This window comes from Homo sapiens, chromosome 8 (assembly GCF_000001405.40).
Source record: "Homo sapiens chromosome 8, GRCh38.p14 Primary Assembly".
NCBI lineage: Eukaryota > Metazoa > Chordata > Mammalia > Primates > Hominidae > Homo > Homo sapiens.
Genome location: NC_000008.11, coordinates 98,516,698 through 98,534,306, shown reverse-complemented (window position 1 = coordinate 98,534,306; position 17,609 = coordinate 98,516,698). Strand labels below are relative to the sequence as shown.

General features: G+C 35.2%; 1 protein-coding gene across 16 annotated transcripts in view; it reads left to right on the top strand.

The window, feature by feature from the left end:
- Positions 1-17,609, top strand: part of STK3 (serine/threonine kinase 3) — a 598,636-nt gene that overhangs the window by 408,304 nt on the left and 172,723 nt on the right. For all 16 annotated transcript variants that reach the window (XR_007060753.1, XR_007060752.1, XM_047422133.1 and 13 more), the window contains one exon: positions 7,390-7,565. Coding sequence is in view for 14 of the 16 variants with exons in the window: in XM_047422133.1 (XP_047278089.1) it covers positions 7,390-7,565 (176 nt within the window). In the remaining 2 variants the exon portion in view is untranslated. The remainder of the gene's footprint in view (positions 1-7,389; positions 7,566-17,609) is intronic.

Sequence of the window (17,609 nt, the reverse complement as noted above, 5' to 3'; positions counted from 1 at the left end):
ATTTCATAGAATGTCTCAATATCTTTACAGTGGGTACCATTTGGGTCCCAGATGTCTTGTCACATTTTCTAGCCATCTAAAGCTGGAACAGCTGTAATTAGAGGATTGGTCCTTAGATAAACAGTTGTGTTGAGAGTCTTTTTCTATTTTTCCACTAATACATGTATATTCTGAAAATCAGGTTCTTTCTGACTCTACTGGGATAGATCATTCTGTTATTACTTGCACCAGCCTAATAATAATTGTAGTAGTCACAATACTTTCTCAAATACATTATCAGCAGTGCACCAATGCTAGTAATGAAATACATATAGCATCTACTAATTCAAAAGTAATGATGAAAAACCATGGCTCCTGCTGTTGTTCATAGGTATTCAACATCTGGGTAGACAGTCAAAAACACAAATTAATAGAGTTATCTGTGAAATTATTTAGGTAAAGGATTTGGAATTCTACATTAGGGAACTTACGGTTTAATGAAAAGTAAAGATGGAAACACATTTAAAAGACATAACTCAGCGAGGTATGGTGGCCCACACCTGTGATGCCAGCACTTTGGGAGGCCAAAATGGGAGGATTGCTTGAGTCCAGGAGTTTGAAACCAGCCTGGGCAACATAGTAAGACCTCATCTCTACAAAAAGTAAACAAAAATTAACCGAGTGTGGCGGTGCATGCCTGTAGTCCTAGCTACTCAGGAGGCTGAGATGGGAAAATCGCTTGAGCCCAGAAGGTCAAGCCTTCAGTGGGCGGAGATCATGCCACTGCACTCCAGCATGGGAGACAGAAGGAGAGACCCTGTCAGGCAATCAAATCAGTCAGTCCACCCACCCATCCATCCATACATACATACATACAACATACTCATAGGGTAAAAATAAAAATTACTTTTACCAATAATTATATTATTCACATGTTTACATTGTATTGTAATCATTCATTTAATCAGAGATTAGGCTCAACCATCAAAACACCCATTAGAAAGCAAAAAAGGCCTCTGGATAGATATTAAAAAATAAGATTACTTGCAACTAAAGATCTGCACATAGAGAAAAACTTATTTAAAAAAGAGTAAATAACACAAAGCCACATAATTAGCAGGATCTCTAAGATGTATTTCTATACTCATGTTCATAGGAGCATTATTCAACAATATTCATAGGAGCATTATTCAACAAAAGTAGAAAAACCCAAGTGTTCATTGACAGACAAATGGATAAGCAAAATGTAGTATATACATAGAGTTGAATGTTATTTATTCTTGAAAAGGAAGGAAATGCTGACACATGCCACAACATGAATGAACCTTGAGGTCATTATGTTAAATGAAATAAGCCAGTCATAAAAAAAACAAAGAAAAACAAAAAAATACCACTTTAATGGATTATACTTATATGACATATCCAGAGTAGTAAGATTCATAAAAACAGGAAGTAAAATGGTGGTTGCTAGAGGTAGGGGAAAATGGCAAGTTGTTCATTGGGTACAAGAGTCTCCATTTTGCAAGGTGAAGATTGGTCACACAATACTTCATGCTACTGAATGGCACATTTTTGATGGTAATTAAAAAAATTTTTTTTATTGTGGTAAAATACATATAACCTAAAATTCACCATCTTAACCATTTTTAAACATAAGCATACCTCATTATTGCAATTTGCTTTTTTGTGCTTCACAGACATTCTGTGTTTTACAGATTGAAGGTTTGTGGCAACCTTGTGTCAAGCAAGTCTATTGGCACTGTTTTTCCAATGTTATGTGCTCACTTTGTATTTCTGTGTCATAGTTTGGTACTTTTCACAATATTTCAAACCTTTTCATCATTATTATGTCTGTTACACTGATCTGTGATCAGTGGTCTTTGGTGCTACTATTGTAATTGTTTTGGGGTACAACAAACTGCGCCTATATAAGATGGCGAATTTAATTGATAAATGTAGTATGTGTTCTGACTGCCCCACCAGCAGGCCATTACCTTGTCTCTGTCTCTCTCCTCAGGCCTCCCTTTTCTCTGAGACATCACAATATTGAAATTAGGCCCATTGATAACCCTGCAATGGCCTCTATGTGCTAAAGTGAAAGGAAGAGTCACACATCTCTCACTTTAAATCAAAAGCTAGAAATGATTAAACTTAGTGAGGAAGGCATATTGAAAGCTGAGACTGGGTGAAAGCTAGGCCTCTTGCACCAAACAGCCAAGTTGTGAATGCAAAGAAAAACTTCTTAAAGGAAATTAAAAGTTCTACTCCAGTGAACACATGAATGATAAGAAAGTGAAACAGCCTTTCTCTTTCTGATATGGAGAAAGTTTGAGTGGTGTGGATAGAAGATTAAACCAGTCACAACATTTCCTTAAGCCAAAGTCTAACCCAGAGCAAGGCTCTAACTCTGTTTAATTCTGGAAGGCTGAAAGAGGTAAGGAAGCTGCAGAAGAAAAGTTTGAAGCTAGCATAGGTTGGTTCATGACGTTTAAGGAAAGAAGCTATCTCCAGACCATACAAGTACAAAGTGAAGCAGCAAGTACTGATGGAGAAGCTGCAGCAAGTTATCCAGAAGATGTAGCTAAGATAATTGATGAAGGTGGCTACCCTAAACAACAGAATTTCAATATAGAATAAACAAGTCTTCTATTGGAAGATGTCATCTAAGACTTTCCTAGCTACAGAGGAGAAGTCAATGCCTGGCTTCAGAGCTTCAAAGGACAGGCTGGTGGTGGTGACTAAGTTGAAGCCAATGTTCATTTACTGTTTTGAAAATCCTAGGGCCCTTAAAAATTATGCTCATTCTGCTCTGCCTGTGCTCTATAAATGGAATAATGAAGCCTGGATGGCAGCACATTTGTTTGCACTATGGTTTGCTGAATATTTTAAGCCCACTGTTGAGACCTACTGCTGAGAAAAAAAGATTATCTTTGGACTGTTACTGCTCAGTGAGAATGCACCTGGTCACCCAAGGGGTCTGATGGAAATATGCAAGGAAATTAATGTTGTTTTCATGCCTGCTAACACAACATCCATTTTGTAGCCCATAGATCCATGAGTATTTTAGACTTTCAAGTCTTATTATTAAGAAATACATTTTATAAGGCAATATCTGCCATAAATAATGATTGCTTTGATGGATCTGGATCAAGTAAGTTGAAAACCTTCTGGAAAGGATTCATCATTCTTCATGTTATTAAGAACATTTGTGATTCATAGGAGGAAGTAAAAAGATCAGCATTAACAGGAGGTTGGAAGAAGTCCATTCCAACCCTCATGGATGACTTTAAGGGGTTAAAGACTTCAGTGGAGGAAGTAACTGCAAGTGTGATGGTAATAGCGAAAGAACTAGACTTGGAAGTACAGCCTGAAGATGTGCCTGCATTGCTGCAATCTCATGATTAAACTTGAACAGATGAAGAGTTGCTTCTTATGGATGAGCAAAGAAAGTGGTTTCTTGCGATGGAATCTACTCCTTGTGAAGATGCTGTGAACATTGTTGAAATGACAACAAAGGACTTAGAATTTTCCATAAACTCAGTTGATAAAGCAGTGGTAGAGTTTGAGAGGATTGACTACAATTTTGAGAGACACTGTGCTGTGGGTAAAATGTTACGAAACAGCATCTCATGCTACAGAGAAACATTTTGTGAAAGGAAGAGTTAACTGATACAGCAAACTTCACTGCGGTATTATTTAAGAAACACTACAGCCACCCCAAACTGGACTTCTAAGCAGCACAGGTGCCTCTGCACTCTCTCGTTATTCTCCAGGGTTCTCCCACTGACACTCCAGTCAAATCTTAGCTATTTATCTGTTGCCTCGGTCTTTTTTTGTTGAGAGTGGACTAGCACCAGGCCTCTCTTGTCAGCCATCTTTCTGATGTCACTCCTAAACATAACTTTTAGAAAACCAAATACCGCATGTTCTCACTTACAAGTGGAAGCTAAATGATGAGAATACATGGCCACATCTGGGGAACAACACACACTGGGACTTTTCAGAGAGTGGAGGCTGGGAGGAGGGAGAGGATCAGAAAAAACAAATGGGTACTAGGCTTAATACGTGGGTGATGAAATAATCTGTAAAACAAACCCCCATGACACAAGTTTACCTATGTAACAAATCTGCACATGTACCCCTGACCTTAAAAGTTAAAAAGAAATTTTTAAGAAAATTGACGTTGTGAAGGCAAACAAACAAACATAACTTTTATGTGCACTGGGAAACCAAAAAATTTATGTGACTTACATTATTGCGATATTCTCATTATTGCAGTGGTCTGGAACCAAACCTGCAATAACTGCGAAATATGCCTGTATCTAGTTCAATAGTATTAATCTTAAGCACTTCCATAAAGTTGTGCAGCCATCACCACCATCAATTTCCATAACTCTTTTCATCTTGTAAAACTCAACTGCTGTACCTGTTAAACGCCGACTCCCCATTTCCCACTCCTCTTAGTCCCTAGCAACCACCATTCTGTTTTCTGTCTCTATGATGTTGACTACTCTAAATACCTGACATAAGTGGAATCATACAGTATTTTGTTCTTTTGTTACTAGCTTATTTCACATAGCATAATGTCCTCAAGGTTCATCCATGTTGTAGCATGTGTCAGAATTTCCTTCCTCACATTTTGCTAATGGGCACTTGGCTTGCTTCCATGTTTTAGCTGTTATGAATAATGCTGCAATAGACATGGGGTTACAGTTATCTCTTCAAGACCTGGCTTTCAGTTCCGGATATATACCCAGAAGTAAGATGGTAAATTTTATCTTATAAAAATTTTTTTAAAACACATAAGGTGAAGTCAATAAAACCTCTGTTTTGATATGGCAAACCATTTTATTTTAAGGCAATGAGACAGAATTCTTTTGATGAATAAATATCACCATTACCACTCTCTCTTATAACCTCACCTAAGCCGCCTCACCTAGGCTTCCAATCTGTCAAATAACACACATAGAGATCCAAAAGTAGGGAGAAAGGAAAGAGGAGATAGGACGTTTACCTGTCAGTTCAATCTCCGTCCCCCCCCCTTTTGTTTTTTGAAGTTTGATTAAGAATTCCGGACTCTCTGATTTGCCACATAAAGTAGGCATCGATTTAGGCTTCCCTCATATTTTTAAAGACTAAAAATAAGTCTTAACATGCTTTCTTTTGACCAAAATGACCTTAAAGCTCGTCCCAACTAACATTGTTACTTAGTTGTCATAGTAGTAACTGTAGTTTTCAACTGTGCTAGGACTATTACAAATGCAATCTAGGTTGGTCAGATAACTGTTATGAATATTATGTTTCTTTTTAGAGGAACAGTAGACTAGAATGTCTCCATAGGCAAGTAAACAAGTTGATGATGAATCTGAAACATATATCCTATGAAAGGAACTGGGGATGTTTTATATTAAAAATAGACAGCCAAGACAGGAGCCATTACCTCTGTCTTCAGATATTTGAGGGACAATTATACGAAAGAGTAATTTATTTGGAACATGAGTGTAAATTACGGAAGGAAAGATTTCAATTTTACGTTTTAAAAATACTTTTTGTAACTTACAGTTGCCCATCAGGGTCCCTTGTGGGGAGGTGTACTCCCCACAAAAAATTCTTAAGAAAGTAGCTTACTGCCTGACCAACATGGAGAAACCCCATCTCTACTAAAAATACAAAATTAGCCGGGCATGGTGGCGCATGCCTGTAATCCCAGCTACTTGGGAGGCTGAGGCAGGAGAATTGCTTGAACTCAGGAGGCGGAGGTTGCAATGAGCTGAGTTCGTGCCATTGCACTCCAGCCTGCACAACAAGAGCGAAACTCCATCTCAAAAAAAAAGAAAAGAAAAAGGAAAGTAGCTTACTTTCTATTTGGAGAATTATATGGGAAATGCCTTCTTGGTGGTCTCTGGGACATTTATTTGGAGCCCTGGGGCTTTAAGGATCCAATTTGAAAACCACTGATCAAGACCAATATAGCCAGATTAAAAATCTAGTTATTCCAAATATTTATTTCCTATTTAGTCATTCAGTATAAAAAATGAAGAGCCATTGAAAGATTCTGAGCAGAATGACATCTTTTGGTTTGTATTTAGAAAGGTCACCACTTTGACAATATGGAAATTAAAATCAAAACTGTGATATTGGAAGCAAGGAGACTAGTTTGGAGGCTGCTACAATGGCCTAAGCAAGAAGTGATTAGAAGCTAAACTAAGACAGTTGCAATGATAAGTAGAGAAAAGGGGTTATAGTTAACTGTACTGAGAAGTAGAATTAAAAGACCTAATAATCAGTTTGCTATGGTGGGAAGGGAGGAGTCTGAATTAATTCTCAACTTTATTATTTTGGGGATTGAGTAAATAAGGTTGACTTTAGTGGAGATAGAATATGTCGGGGGAGCTGTAGGTTTGAAGGGAAAGATCTTGAATTTAGTTTTAGAACTGGTAAATTAATTGGCAACTCACCTCAGATTAAGTTGTCTAATAGCTAGCAAAGTTAGTTATGGAACTTAGGCGCAAAGTCTGGGCTAGAGAAGTAGTGTTGGGAGACATGGATGTAAGTGTGGCAGGCGAAGCCATGGAAGTCCAGGGACAGAGGGAATCAGAAAGACTGAGGAAGCAGTTTGATAAATATAAGAGGAAACTGAGTAAGTTCTTATGATTTTTTTTAATTTTTTTAAAGTTTATGTATTTCATATATATATATTTTTTAATTTGAACAGGGTCTTGCTCTGTTGCCCAGGCTGGAGTGCAGTGGCACAATCATAGCTCACTGCAGCCTTGACCTCCCAGGCTCAAGTGATCCTCCCGCCTCTGTCCCCAAAGTAGCTGGGACTACAGATAGGTGCCACCACACCTGGCTAATTTTTTGTATTTTTTATAGAGACAGAGTTTCACTATGTTGCTTAGGCTGGTCTTGAACTCCTGGGCTCAAGCATCCCTTCCACCTTAGCCTCCCAAAGTTCTGAGGTTACAGGCCACCATGCCTAGCCAAGTCCTCATAATTTCTTACAGCTGAAAATGTACAATAACAATAGCAATGCAGGCTTAAATGCAAAGAAAAAAAGCCCACCAAAAACACCTGAGTTTTTAAAATTTACTTTCTTTGAGAAATTTGAAATAAAGCTGAAATGATTTTTAATAAAATTCTGATAATGATTTTACTAAACTTCTGAAATGTTTCTACAATCTAAACATTCCAGACCTTTGCCTAATCATCAGCTTAATTTTTATTTGGTCTGGGTATTTTTTAATTCTTATTTTATTTCACTTTGTTCTTTATGAAATTAATTATGTTGGCCTTGAATCTGACCAGTGCAAATTTATTATATGGCTTCATAAAAAAATCATACTTCAAAGAAAATACTTCCTTAAATGTAAGAACTTATACCTTCCTTATGTTCTTTGTTTACCTAAGGAAATGCAACCTCACCACAAGTACAAAGACCATCTTTCATGGACTACTTTGATAAGCAAGACTTCAAGAATAAGAGTCACGAAAACTGTAATCAGAACATGCATGAACCCTTCCCTATGTCCAAAAACGTTTTTCCTGATAACTGGAAAGTTCCTCAAGATGGAGACTTTGACTTTGTAAGTACATTTTAATTCTTCAATTTATGTTTTCTCCTTCTATATTTTATCATCAAATTGAGAAGCATAGTTCATATGTATATGAACTGTGTGTATGTATATACAATTATAGACCATATGTTAATATTCATTATACAGCCATATACATGGTTAGAGAAATTGTGAAACTGTAGCTTGCTTATAGAAATGTACTTGCAGAGAAATACTTTTTTATAGTTAAATAAATCATAGCTCAAATTTAAATAAATATTCAGGACTCCTTAAAACTAAAATGACAACTATTTTAAAAGATGTTTTCAATAATGCAAATATGAGATACTTCTGACATTCAGTAAACTCAGTTGCCAAAATTAATGAAGCAAAGGTATTTATGACATAGAGTTTGAGAATTTGCTTCAATTTTTAAAGTATATGAGTTGGTTTCTATTTGAGTAAGTGTTAATTCCACTTGGTTTCTCAGAAATAATAGTCCTATTCTGTACCTAGGAGCATATAAACTTCAGTATAAAACTGCCTTATCACCTATTTTGTTACATTTTCTCATTATTTCTTCTACCCTGGTTCTTCTTACTTCTTTTAAAGAATACATAAAATACAGATGAACTATTTTAAAGTAACTGTTTCCAGAACTTGAGAGAGTAAATTCTCAAAATGAGTTATTTAATGGAGTGAAAATTTTATGGAGTAAATTTTTACTTAACCACATTTTAAATAATAATGTTACTTTTGCATATTGTTCTGGAAGATTTTTTTTCCCAAACAAAATAACTTTATAATCCTTTATAGTTTTATTTATTAATAAACGTATGGATAAGTAAATACAATTTTAGATAAATATAAATATGTACATTTTTTAAATTTAAGAATTTTTAAGTAATAATAAACCATTTTGCTTAGACAACATGACTCTAAATGCTTTGCAATTATAAATATTTTAAGTACTTTTTTCCTCAATATTGTGATTGAGTTTTTAAATAATCAGATAATAAAGTTTCAAAATCTATCCCCAATAAATTTAGTACTAATTGCTAGCAAATATTAGCAGTATAATTCACAGGTTAGCTTGCAAACATCATTGCAATGTCTACTTAATATTTTTTCAATATTGTAGTAAGCAGTTAGAAAAATAAAATCAATACATCTTTAGTCCTAATAAGATTTCATTTTAACCTATCTACTTTTTTAAAATTATAAATTATTTAGAATGCTGACATTTAAGCTTTAAATTATTCATGAATATAATGAATAATGTAGAGTATTTAGCCTCAAAGAGTTGTCTTGTGTCAGTTGGAATAAATCTTTTTTTTTTTTTTGGCATAAATTTAAGGGTACGATTGCTGTTTTTTAAATTTACATGGATATATTGCATCATGGTGAAGTCTGGACTTTTAGTATAACCATTACCCAAATAATGTGCATTGTACCCTTTAGGTAATTTCTCATCCCTGACTCCCTTCTTCCCCTCTCACCCTTCCAAGTTTCCATAGTCTATTATTCCGCACTCTGTGTCCGTGTGTACACATTGTTTAGCTCCTACTTATACGTGAGAACATGCAGTATTTGACTTTGCTGTTTCTGAGTTGTTTCACTTAAGATAATAGCTACCAGTTCCATCCATGTTGCTTCAAAAGATAAGATTTTATTCTTTTTTATGGCTGAGTAGTATGGAATACATCTTAATGGGCTCTGAGAAACACTTTGAAATGAGCTACAAAGTAATGAATAAATTATCATGGTTAAGAAATGGCAAATAAAATGATTTAACTTTGCTTCAGTTAATCTTTCTACCACCCCAAAATTTAATGGCTTAAAATAACAACTATTTTACTTTCATCAAAACCACAATTTTGTAGGTTAATAGTTTGTCTAGGTTTATCTAAGTGTTTCTTCTGCTGGGCTTACCTGGGGTTTCTTAAGTGACTGCAGTCATCTGCTGACTTGAATGGGGCTGAACACTCTCTCTAAAATTACTTCCCAAATGTGTTGGCAATTGTGCTAACTATTGGCTAGGTCATATGATCTCATCAGGCAAGCCTGGAGTTTGTATGTGGCAGTAGTAGCCTTCCAAGAAGGTGAAAACAAGGTTGTAAGGCCTCTTGACATCAGCGTAGGATCTGCACAGTGTCCATTGATAATAGCATCAAAAAGAATGAGATACTTAGGAATAATCTTAACCAAGTAGGTAAAAGACTTGTACACTGAAAACTGCAAAAATATGGGTGAAAGAAATTAGATATCAATACATGAAAAGACATATTCATAGATTATAAGCTTTAATATTGTTAGGATGTTAATATTGCCTAAAGCAATCTACAGAGTCATTGTCATCTCTGTCAAAATCCTAATGATATTTTTTACAAAACTAGAAAAAAACTCATCCTAAAATTCATATGGATTCTCAAGGGACCCTAATTAGTCAAAACAATCTTGAAAAAGAAAAACAAAATTGAAGATCTCATGTTTCCTGATTTCAAAACTTACTACCAAGCTACTGAAATCAAAACAGTGTGGTACTGTCAGAAAGACAGACATGTAGACCAATGGAATAGAGAGCTGAGAAGTAAACTTTTCACATCTATGGTCAAATGATTTTCGGCAAGGATGCCAAGACCATTCAGTGGGGGCAAAGAAGAGGCATTTCAGCAAATCGTGCTGGGAAAACTGGATATCCACATGCAAAAGAATGAAGTTGGAGTCTTACTTTACACCATATACAAAAATTAATTCAAAATGGGCCAAAGATCTTACAGTAAGAAATAAAACTAAAAAATTAGTAGGAAATACATATGAGAAAAACTTCGTGACATTGGATTTAGCAGTGATTTCTAGGCTATGACACTAAAAACAAGTAACAAAAAATAGATAAATTGGACTACATCAAAATGGAAAACTTGTGTGCATCACAAGACACTATCAACAGAGTGGAGGGCAACCAATGGAATGAGAGAAAACATTTGTAAATCATATATCTGATAAGAGGTTAATATTCATAATGTATAATGAACTCCTACAACTCAACAGCAACAAAAAAAAAACCCAAACAGTCCATTTCAGAAATGGGCAAAGGGGCTGGGCATGGTGGCTCATGCCTGTAATCCCAGCACTTTGGGAGGCTGAGGCGGGTGGATCACCTGAGGTCAGGAGTTTGAGACCAGCCTGACCAACAAGGCGAAACCCCACCTGTACTAAAAATACAAAATTAGCTGGGGTGTGGTGGTGCATGCTTGTAATTCCAGCTACTTGGGAGGCTGAGGCAGGAGAATCACTTGAACCCAGGAGATGGAGGTTGCAGTGAGCCGAGATCGTGCCATTGCACTCCAGCCTGGGTGACAGAGCGAGACTCTGTCTCAAAAAAAAAAAAAAAAAGGGCAAAGGACTTAAATAGATATTCCTCCAAAGAAGATAAGCATGGCTAATAAACACATGAAAAGATTCAATAATTATCATTAATCATTAGAGAAATGCATATCAAAACTACAATAAGATACTACACACCCATTCAAATGACTATTATCAAAACACAAACACATAAAATAACAAGTGTTTCTGAAGACGTAGAGAAATTGGAACCTTTCCTTGTGCACCTGCTGGTGGAAGTATGTTGTAGTCACTATGGGAAGCAGTATGGTGGTTCCTCAAAAAAACTAACATAGCATTATCATATAATCCAGCAATTCTACCTCTGGGTATGTACCAAAGAAGTGAAAGCAGGGTCTCAAAGAGGTAGTTGTACACCCTTTTTCATGGCAGCATTATTCACAATGACAAAAAGGTAGAAGCAACCCAAGTGTCCATTGATGGATGAATGGATTAAAAAAATGTTGTAATACATAAAATGGAATATTGTTCAGCCTTAGGAAAGAAATTGTGCAATATGCTACAACATGGATAAGCACTGAAGACATTATGCTAAGTGAAATAAGCCAGGTCACAAAAGGACAAATGCTATATGATTCTACTTATATGAGTTACCTATAATAGTCAAATTCATCGAGATGGAAAATAAAATGTTGGTTCTCACGGGTGAGAAATAGGGAGTTATTGTTTGATGGGTACAGAGTTTCCGTTTTGCAAGATGAAAAACGTTCCAGAAGTGGATGGTAGTGATGCTTGTATGAGAGTGTGAATGTAAATAATGCCACTTAACTGAACACTTGAAAATGGTTAATTTTGTGTTATGCATTTTTTTGCATAAAAAATGCATAAGAGAAGAGGGGAAAGAATTTGCACAGTGTCACTGTTGTCATAGTCTGTTGTCAAAATATGTCAGAAGTCTAGTCCTAATTCATAAGATATGGAAATAAATTTCACCTCATGATGGAAGGAACAGCAAAGTTACATGGCAAAGGGTGCTATGAGATGGAAGGAATTATTACAGTATACTTTGCAGACAATCTAATAGAAAGGGTGTTAATTAAAATTCAACAGAAATTAGAATGTTGAATTTAGGAAATCAGAGTTCATTAATGATTTTGATAATGACCATTGCAGTACTCTACTTTCAGATTTTTCACATACACACAATTTTTGACATGTAGCCTTCTACTGTCTGTCTTAGACTCATTTTAGTTTTGTGAATCTATTTTTCCAATGGCTAACTCCTGAAAGTAACTTTTGGAAACATTTTTAGCCCCTCATAGATTTTGTAGTCATTCTATCTGGAAATTCCAAAATTTGTTAGAAAACATTAAGCTAATTTAACAAATATTTTACTTTGGATTGTGCTAGGCACTGTGGGTAAAAATAAATTATACTGATTTATTAAGAGGACAAGGTATGAGTTAATGAAGTGGTAAATTGTAATCCAGAACAATAACTCAGACATTGCCATGTGGTTTTGAATAAGAGGGAGATTTGATGAAGGCTGGAGTTGTATATGAAATTATAATGTGGAAGAGGACTTTGTCTAAGCATTGATAAATGGATAGCAGAAAGAGAGAAGGCAGGAACTACAAGGAATGATGTGTAATAAAAAGCTTAGCAGTAGGAAAGCATAATCTGTGTTGGGTGGCAATGAAATAGAGACCTTCAAGTCTGTGGTAGTTAATCTGGAAAAATACGAGAGATAAAATGGAAAAGTAGATCCAGATCAGAGGGTGAAAGCTTGCAAGGTTACAGAGTCTGAATATTTATTTAATAGACAGTGGAAAGCCACTGAAGGTTTTAAGTTGGAGGATGACATGATGAAAAGTATCTTAAGAATATTAATATTGAAGATAGCATGAAGGATTGATAGGAAGAGACTCAGGGTAGGGGAAATCGGTTATGTGGCACAAGCTTAAAATAATATAGGAATAAAATTGAAAAGAAAAACAAGAATGAGGAGGAAAGATTAACAGAAATAGCTGAAATACTAGATTGAAGAGTACTATTTTGATTAGTTAAGGTGAGGAACCAAATGATAAATGGTGACAGTACCAAAAAAAAATAATAAAGGAAGATGTTCTCACAGTTGGAAAGGGATATCAAGAGATCATATGACTGGATCCAATTTTTGCAGAGTTATTTATTTTTGACTTATATAGGGCAGATAGCCTTAAAAAGGGAATTGCAGGAGGGACGGAGTGACTAGAACAGTTCTTCCTTTCTCAACATTTATTACACCTGTCAACTGGAACTGCTCAACCCTCTCATCACTTTGAGGAAAGTGGAAAATGTTTGTAATCGCCACTGAGCGGAATGGAAATGGAAATAAATAAGAGATGAATAAAGGAAGCATTGCCAGAAGATGAACAAATAATTGCCAAGAGTAGTAGTGAGTATGGCAAAAGACAAGGAAAAGGGTGTAAGAGGGGCAAAGAGAGAATGGTTAAAAGAAGAAGCATAGGTGGAGCACAGCGTAAGTGATTTGGTGGACTGCTTTGCTCACAAAATGGGGAAGTGGACTAAAAGCAAAGATACCAGCTGTTAATGAGGGAAATCTGGTCTTATTCATTCCCTCATCTATTAGTTACAGAATGTTAAAAAATATGACTCATTAAAGTATAAAGCATACTAAGGTTTATGTGTTTATCTTCCCTCTTCATGATGCATCTCGAGGCCGCCTTCTAGAAGAGAACTGTATTTTATATAATTCCTAAGTCTATTTGATAGAAGTTGCTTAAAATAAGCCAAAGTTGTTTTGACCATATTTTCAGGACAGAGAAGGCTTCATCCTTCTGCCTTGAGGAAAATGGGTTCTAAGAAAAAAAAATGAAAGAGAACACTTTATTGTCTTTTGAGGTACTCAGAGCAGATTCCTAAAGGACAAAACTTATTCGGAAAGGCACCTGCTAGACAGATGTGCAGGGTAGGAAGCATTCCTTGTCTTAAAGCCTGTATGCAATAGAATTTGTGTACTTCCTTTTAAATCGTTAGCATTTGTCTTTGGGATTTTCTATGGATTTTCTTATGTTATGTTCCTGAATGTAAGGAGATGATAAAAGAATTTATGATGTCACCAAATTGGGGATTATCATAAAAAGATAGGAGATAAAATATATTTGGGCTAATTGAATTATTTTTAACCCTACCGGAAAAAAGTTATGTTTAGGATGTGCTTATGAAGATTTCTAAAACAAATGTAAAAGGCAAGTCTGTTTATTATAGCACTAGTCTAATGTTTCAGTTTTTGTTAGAATTATTTCCAAACAGCCTTAACATCCAGATTGTTTAGTGTTAAATAGAGAGCATGTAGATAATGTTTTGCAGAAATTACAGTATCATATTTAAATAGATATATTTTGGGTAATGTAAAGATTTTGGAATAAGAACAAAAACTTCAAAAGCCATCTGTTAACCCACTACATTGGTTCCAAATTTTAAAAAAGAAAGAAATTGGATTGACAGTAATTACTAGTATAAGAGAAATTAGGTAAATCAACCATTTTTGGTTGTGACTCATACTGAATAGTAAGTTAACATTTCTTAATTACTCTGATTCTTAAATATTTATTCAGTTGGTGGTGTTCTTTTGAGCTAAGGGACACAAGAATCCTCCAGGGCCACACTGAAGAAAAAGTCCCAAAAATTGTGGCAGAGAAGGGAAAAAAACTAACTTTGCTCCCCAAGTATAAAGTTGCCTGGGGCTTTCCTAGTTTTTCCGCAGTCCTACCTTTGTTGCCTGCATTAGCAAGTGAGTATGATTACAGGGAAACAAAACAAAAGTCACTGTTGCAAAATGCAGAAAACAGTAAAGGGTTGGCAGAGAAAGTACCAACCCTGCTGCTGGAGCTGCCCATGGACATTTTAGGAATCTTCACTTGTTCTGGAGAAATGTTTCTTTCTCAGGGTCTTTTCACCCTCCTCTATAGCCAGCAACTGTGAAGGAGTGATAAAGAAACTAGAGTAGCCCCGAAAAAGAGGAGCAGGGCCACCCCTTTAGTAAGCCCTCAGCAACACAGACCCTGTAGACAGCTTAAGGTAAAAACTTAAGCCAGCAGCATCTACCAGTTTTTTGTTTGTTTGTTTGTTTGTTTGTTTTACCAGTATAGCAGCATGTTATCTGCTTTGTTTAAATGCAGGTAATGTTTCTGGTTTTAAAAGAGATATTGGCTATAGTTTTCCTTGTAGTGTACTCCTTAGTCAAAGAACTGCTTGTTCTCTACAGTCCTTAGTTCTGTGGACTGAGGAAACCACTTCAGTTGAGTGAAGTATTTAAGCATATTGTCATCGATTACCTTTGCATTAATTAAATGATTATTGTCAAGTATTTCCAGATGTTTGCAAGAGTATTAACAAAGTATGAAAAGACAACTATAGATATTTCAGATTTATTTCTTCTAGGGTAAAGAAGAAATAAACACACAAAATCCCAAATGTTCCAGTGGATAGCTTTGGATAAGAGTTTATGATTACAGGTGTACATGTGGCATGAACTCAAGTGTATGTGGCATATTGTGCTTTCACTACTCAGTCATTCCTTGTAGAGCCAACAGGAAATTAAAATTAATGAGAAGCCTGCACTTTGAAATAGTTGCAGAATTCTTGACTATTTCAGTCCTTTGCCAGCTCACGAAATCTGTGCTGGCAGTCATATCCAACAGATGGTGTGGCGTGTGCACAGTTGTGTCATGTGATTGTCTAGGTCCATGTAGAATTTTTATGAGGTTTTGACCATCCGTCTGCTGAGGCATTTAAGATAGTCATAACCTTTGTTTTGAAAGGAAAGTGACCTGCTTCAAAGAAAAGTGTTTATGTACAAGTAGAAAATAATAATTTAGTCACTGGGCAGCTAAACTAGATTTAATTGATTCTTCGGTAAAAGCAACAAAGATTTTAGTGTCTCTGAACTGCTGCACTGGTTTTTAAAATTTTTTTCTTTAGTAGAATTTAATCCACTTGGCTATCTGAGGTAGAATGAGCGTTTCACTTTCTTATTCCTAATGGTGCTGTTTAAGGCTTCCATAATTTCTGAAATTTTTATTTGGTGGTTGTGTCTAGGCAAAGTCTACTGAAACATTAAGCTAATTCTGCTTATTTAGGTAATTAATACCTTAAGTTAAAACTCATTATATCATCATTTCCCTTACAAATTTAAGTGAGCAGGCCTGTACTTATTGGATTAATTAAGATAGAAAGCACAGGTGCAGTATGTGGTTTCTTGTCAACATGTTATAATTTATTAAGATGTTTAAAGCACATGGCAAAAGAAAAATGACTTACAAAAAGAGCTCCAAGAAGCACAAACTCTCCTCATAGTAGTTTGCTCTTTTTAAAATGTCATTTATTTAGAAGATTACATTGAAAAATTGACTACTCTACATTTTAAAACAAGATATTGTACTCCAAGCATATGTTGTGGCTAATGTTGATGTCTAAGGAAGTTATTTTGACTATGTGGGCTTTCTATTCATAACCCAATTTTGGATGTTTAGTCAGTAAGCACTGGGGACTATTGGGGTGATTACATCAAAAGAGATGTTAACCAATAGTGGAATTTAGGATCAAAGAGTGGACAATGTAATTTATGATCTTCTAATTTAAGACTGATAGCCCAACAGTGTTTACCTTTTGAAATAAATAAAGCATTCGATTTCAAAAAAGTTTTAAAAATTGATTGAGGAAACTAGTAATGCATATATCAGGTTGTGTTTTGATGATGGAATAGTTTTGTACTTGAACTGTCATGAAATTTCTTTAAATCTAAAATTATTTTTGTAATTTTATACTTAATTCAGGTTTTCTGAGTATGCATAGTAGTTCACTATCAGAAATCTTTCTATAACTGACTTCCATCATACTTCTCATGTCTATCTTCCACAGTTAGAAGTATGCACATCATTGTTTGGGGGCCTATCATATTTGTTGGCCTACTTGAATTAATGCTGACACCTTTTCCTCCTTCCTGCCATTAGGTTGGTAGCCTTTTCCATAGTACCTCTCATTCATAAAAATAGAAAGCCCTCATTAGGTTGGTTTCTTCATGTTGGAAGACTTTTCAGTAAATAATAGACTTTTTTTAAAAATCCAGAATCTAGTTGTCTTGATTCAAAACCAAAGTAGTCTTGTTTTGTAATTGTGTTCATCAGTTGTTGAAACACCTTTCCAGAACGATAGACAGACCTTAAGGAGATAAATGAGTGATAGGGGCATTCAAACTAATGTTGTTTCTCATAGCAGATGAAAGTATTTTGGAAAAAAGATACCTTACTGATTTATTTTGAAGACACATTTACATGGTTCTCAACAGACCTTTTTTTCTTCATGAATTCAGTAATGGTGCATGTTGAAATTTGATATGCAGTATAGTATTATTAATTATTAAGGCATCTTATAAAAGGCTCAGTAACCTGGGTTAGAGTATCAAGTTTCATTCTCACAGACCTTCAGTTTAGTTTTTAACTCTCTATCTTAATTTGAGAATGCAAATGAAACTACCTAATAGCCAAGGCTACAAATATATAAATATATAAAAAGTTAATTATCGGCCATATTCTTGTACTAACTAGTCCAGTGGAACGACTAGCGAGTTCTGGATTATCTTTGCTAATGAAAGATCTAAAATTGTCATTTTAATGCCTATATTCTTTGATGAAAAGAAATATACTAATTCATTAGAACTTC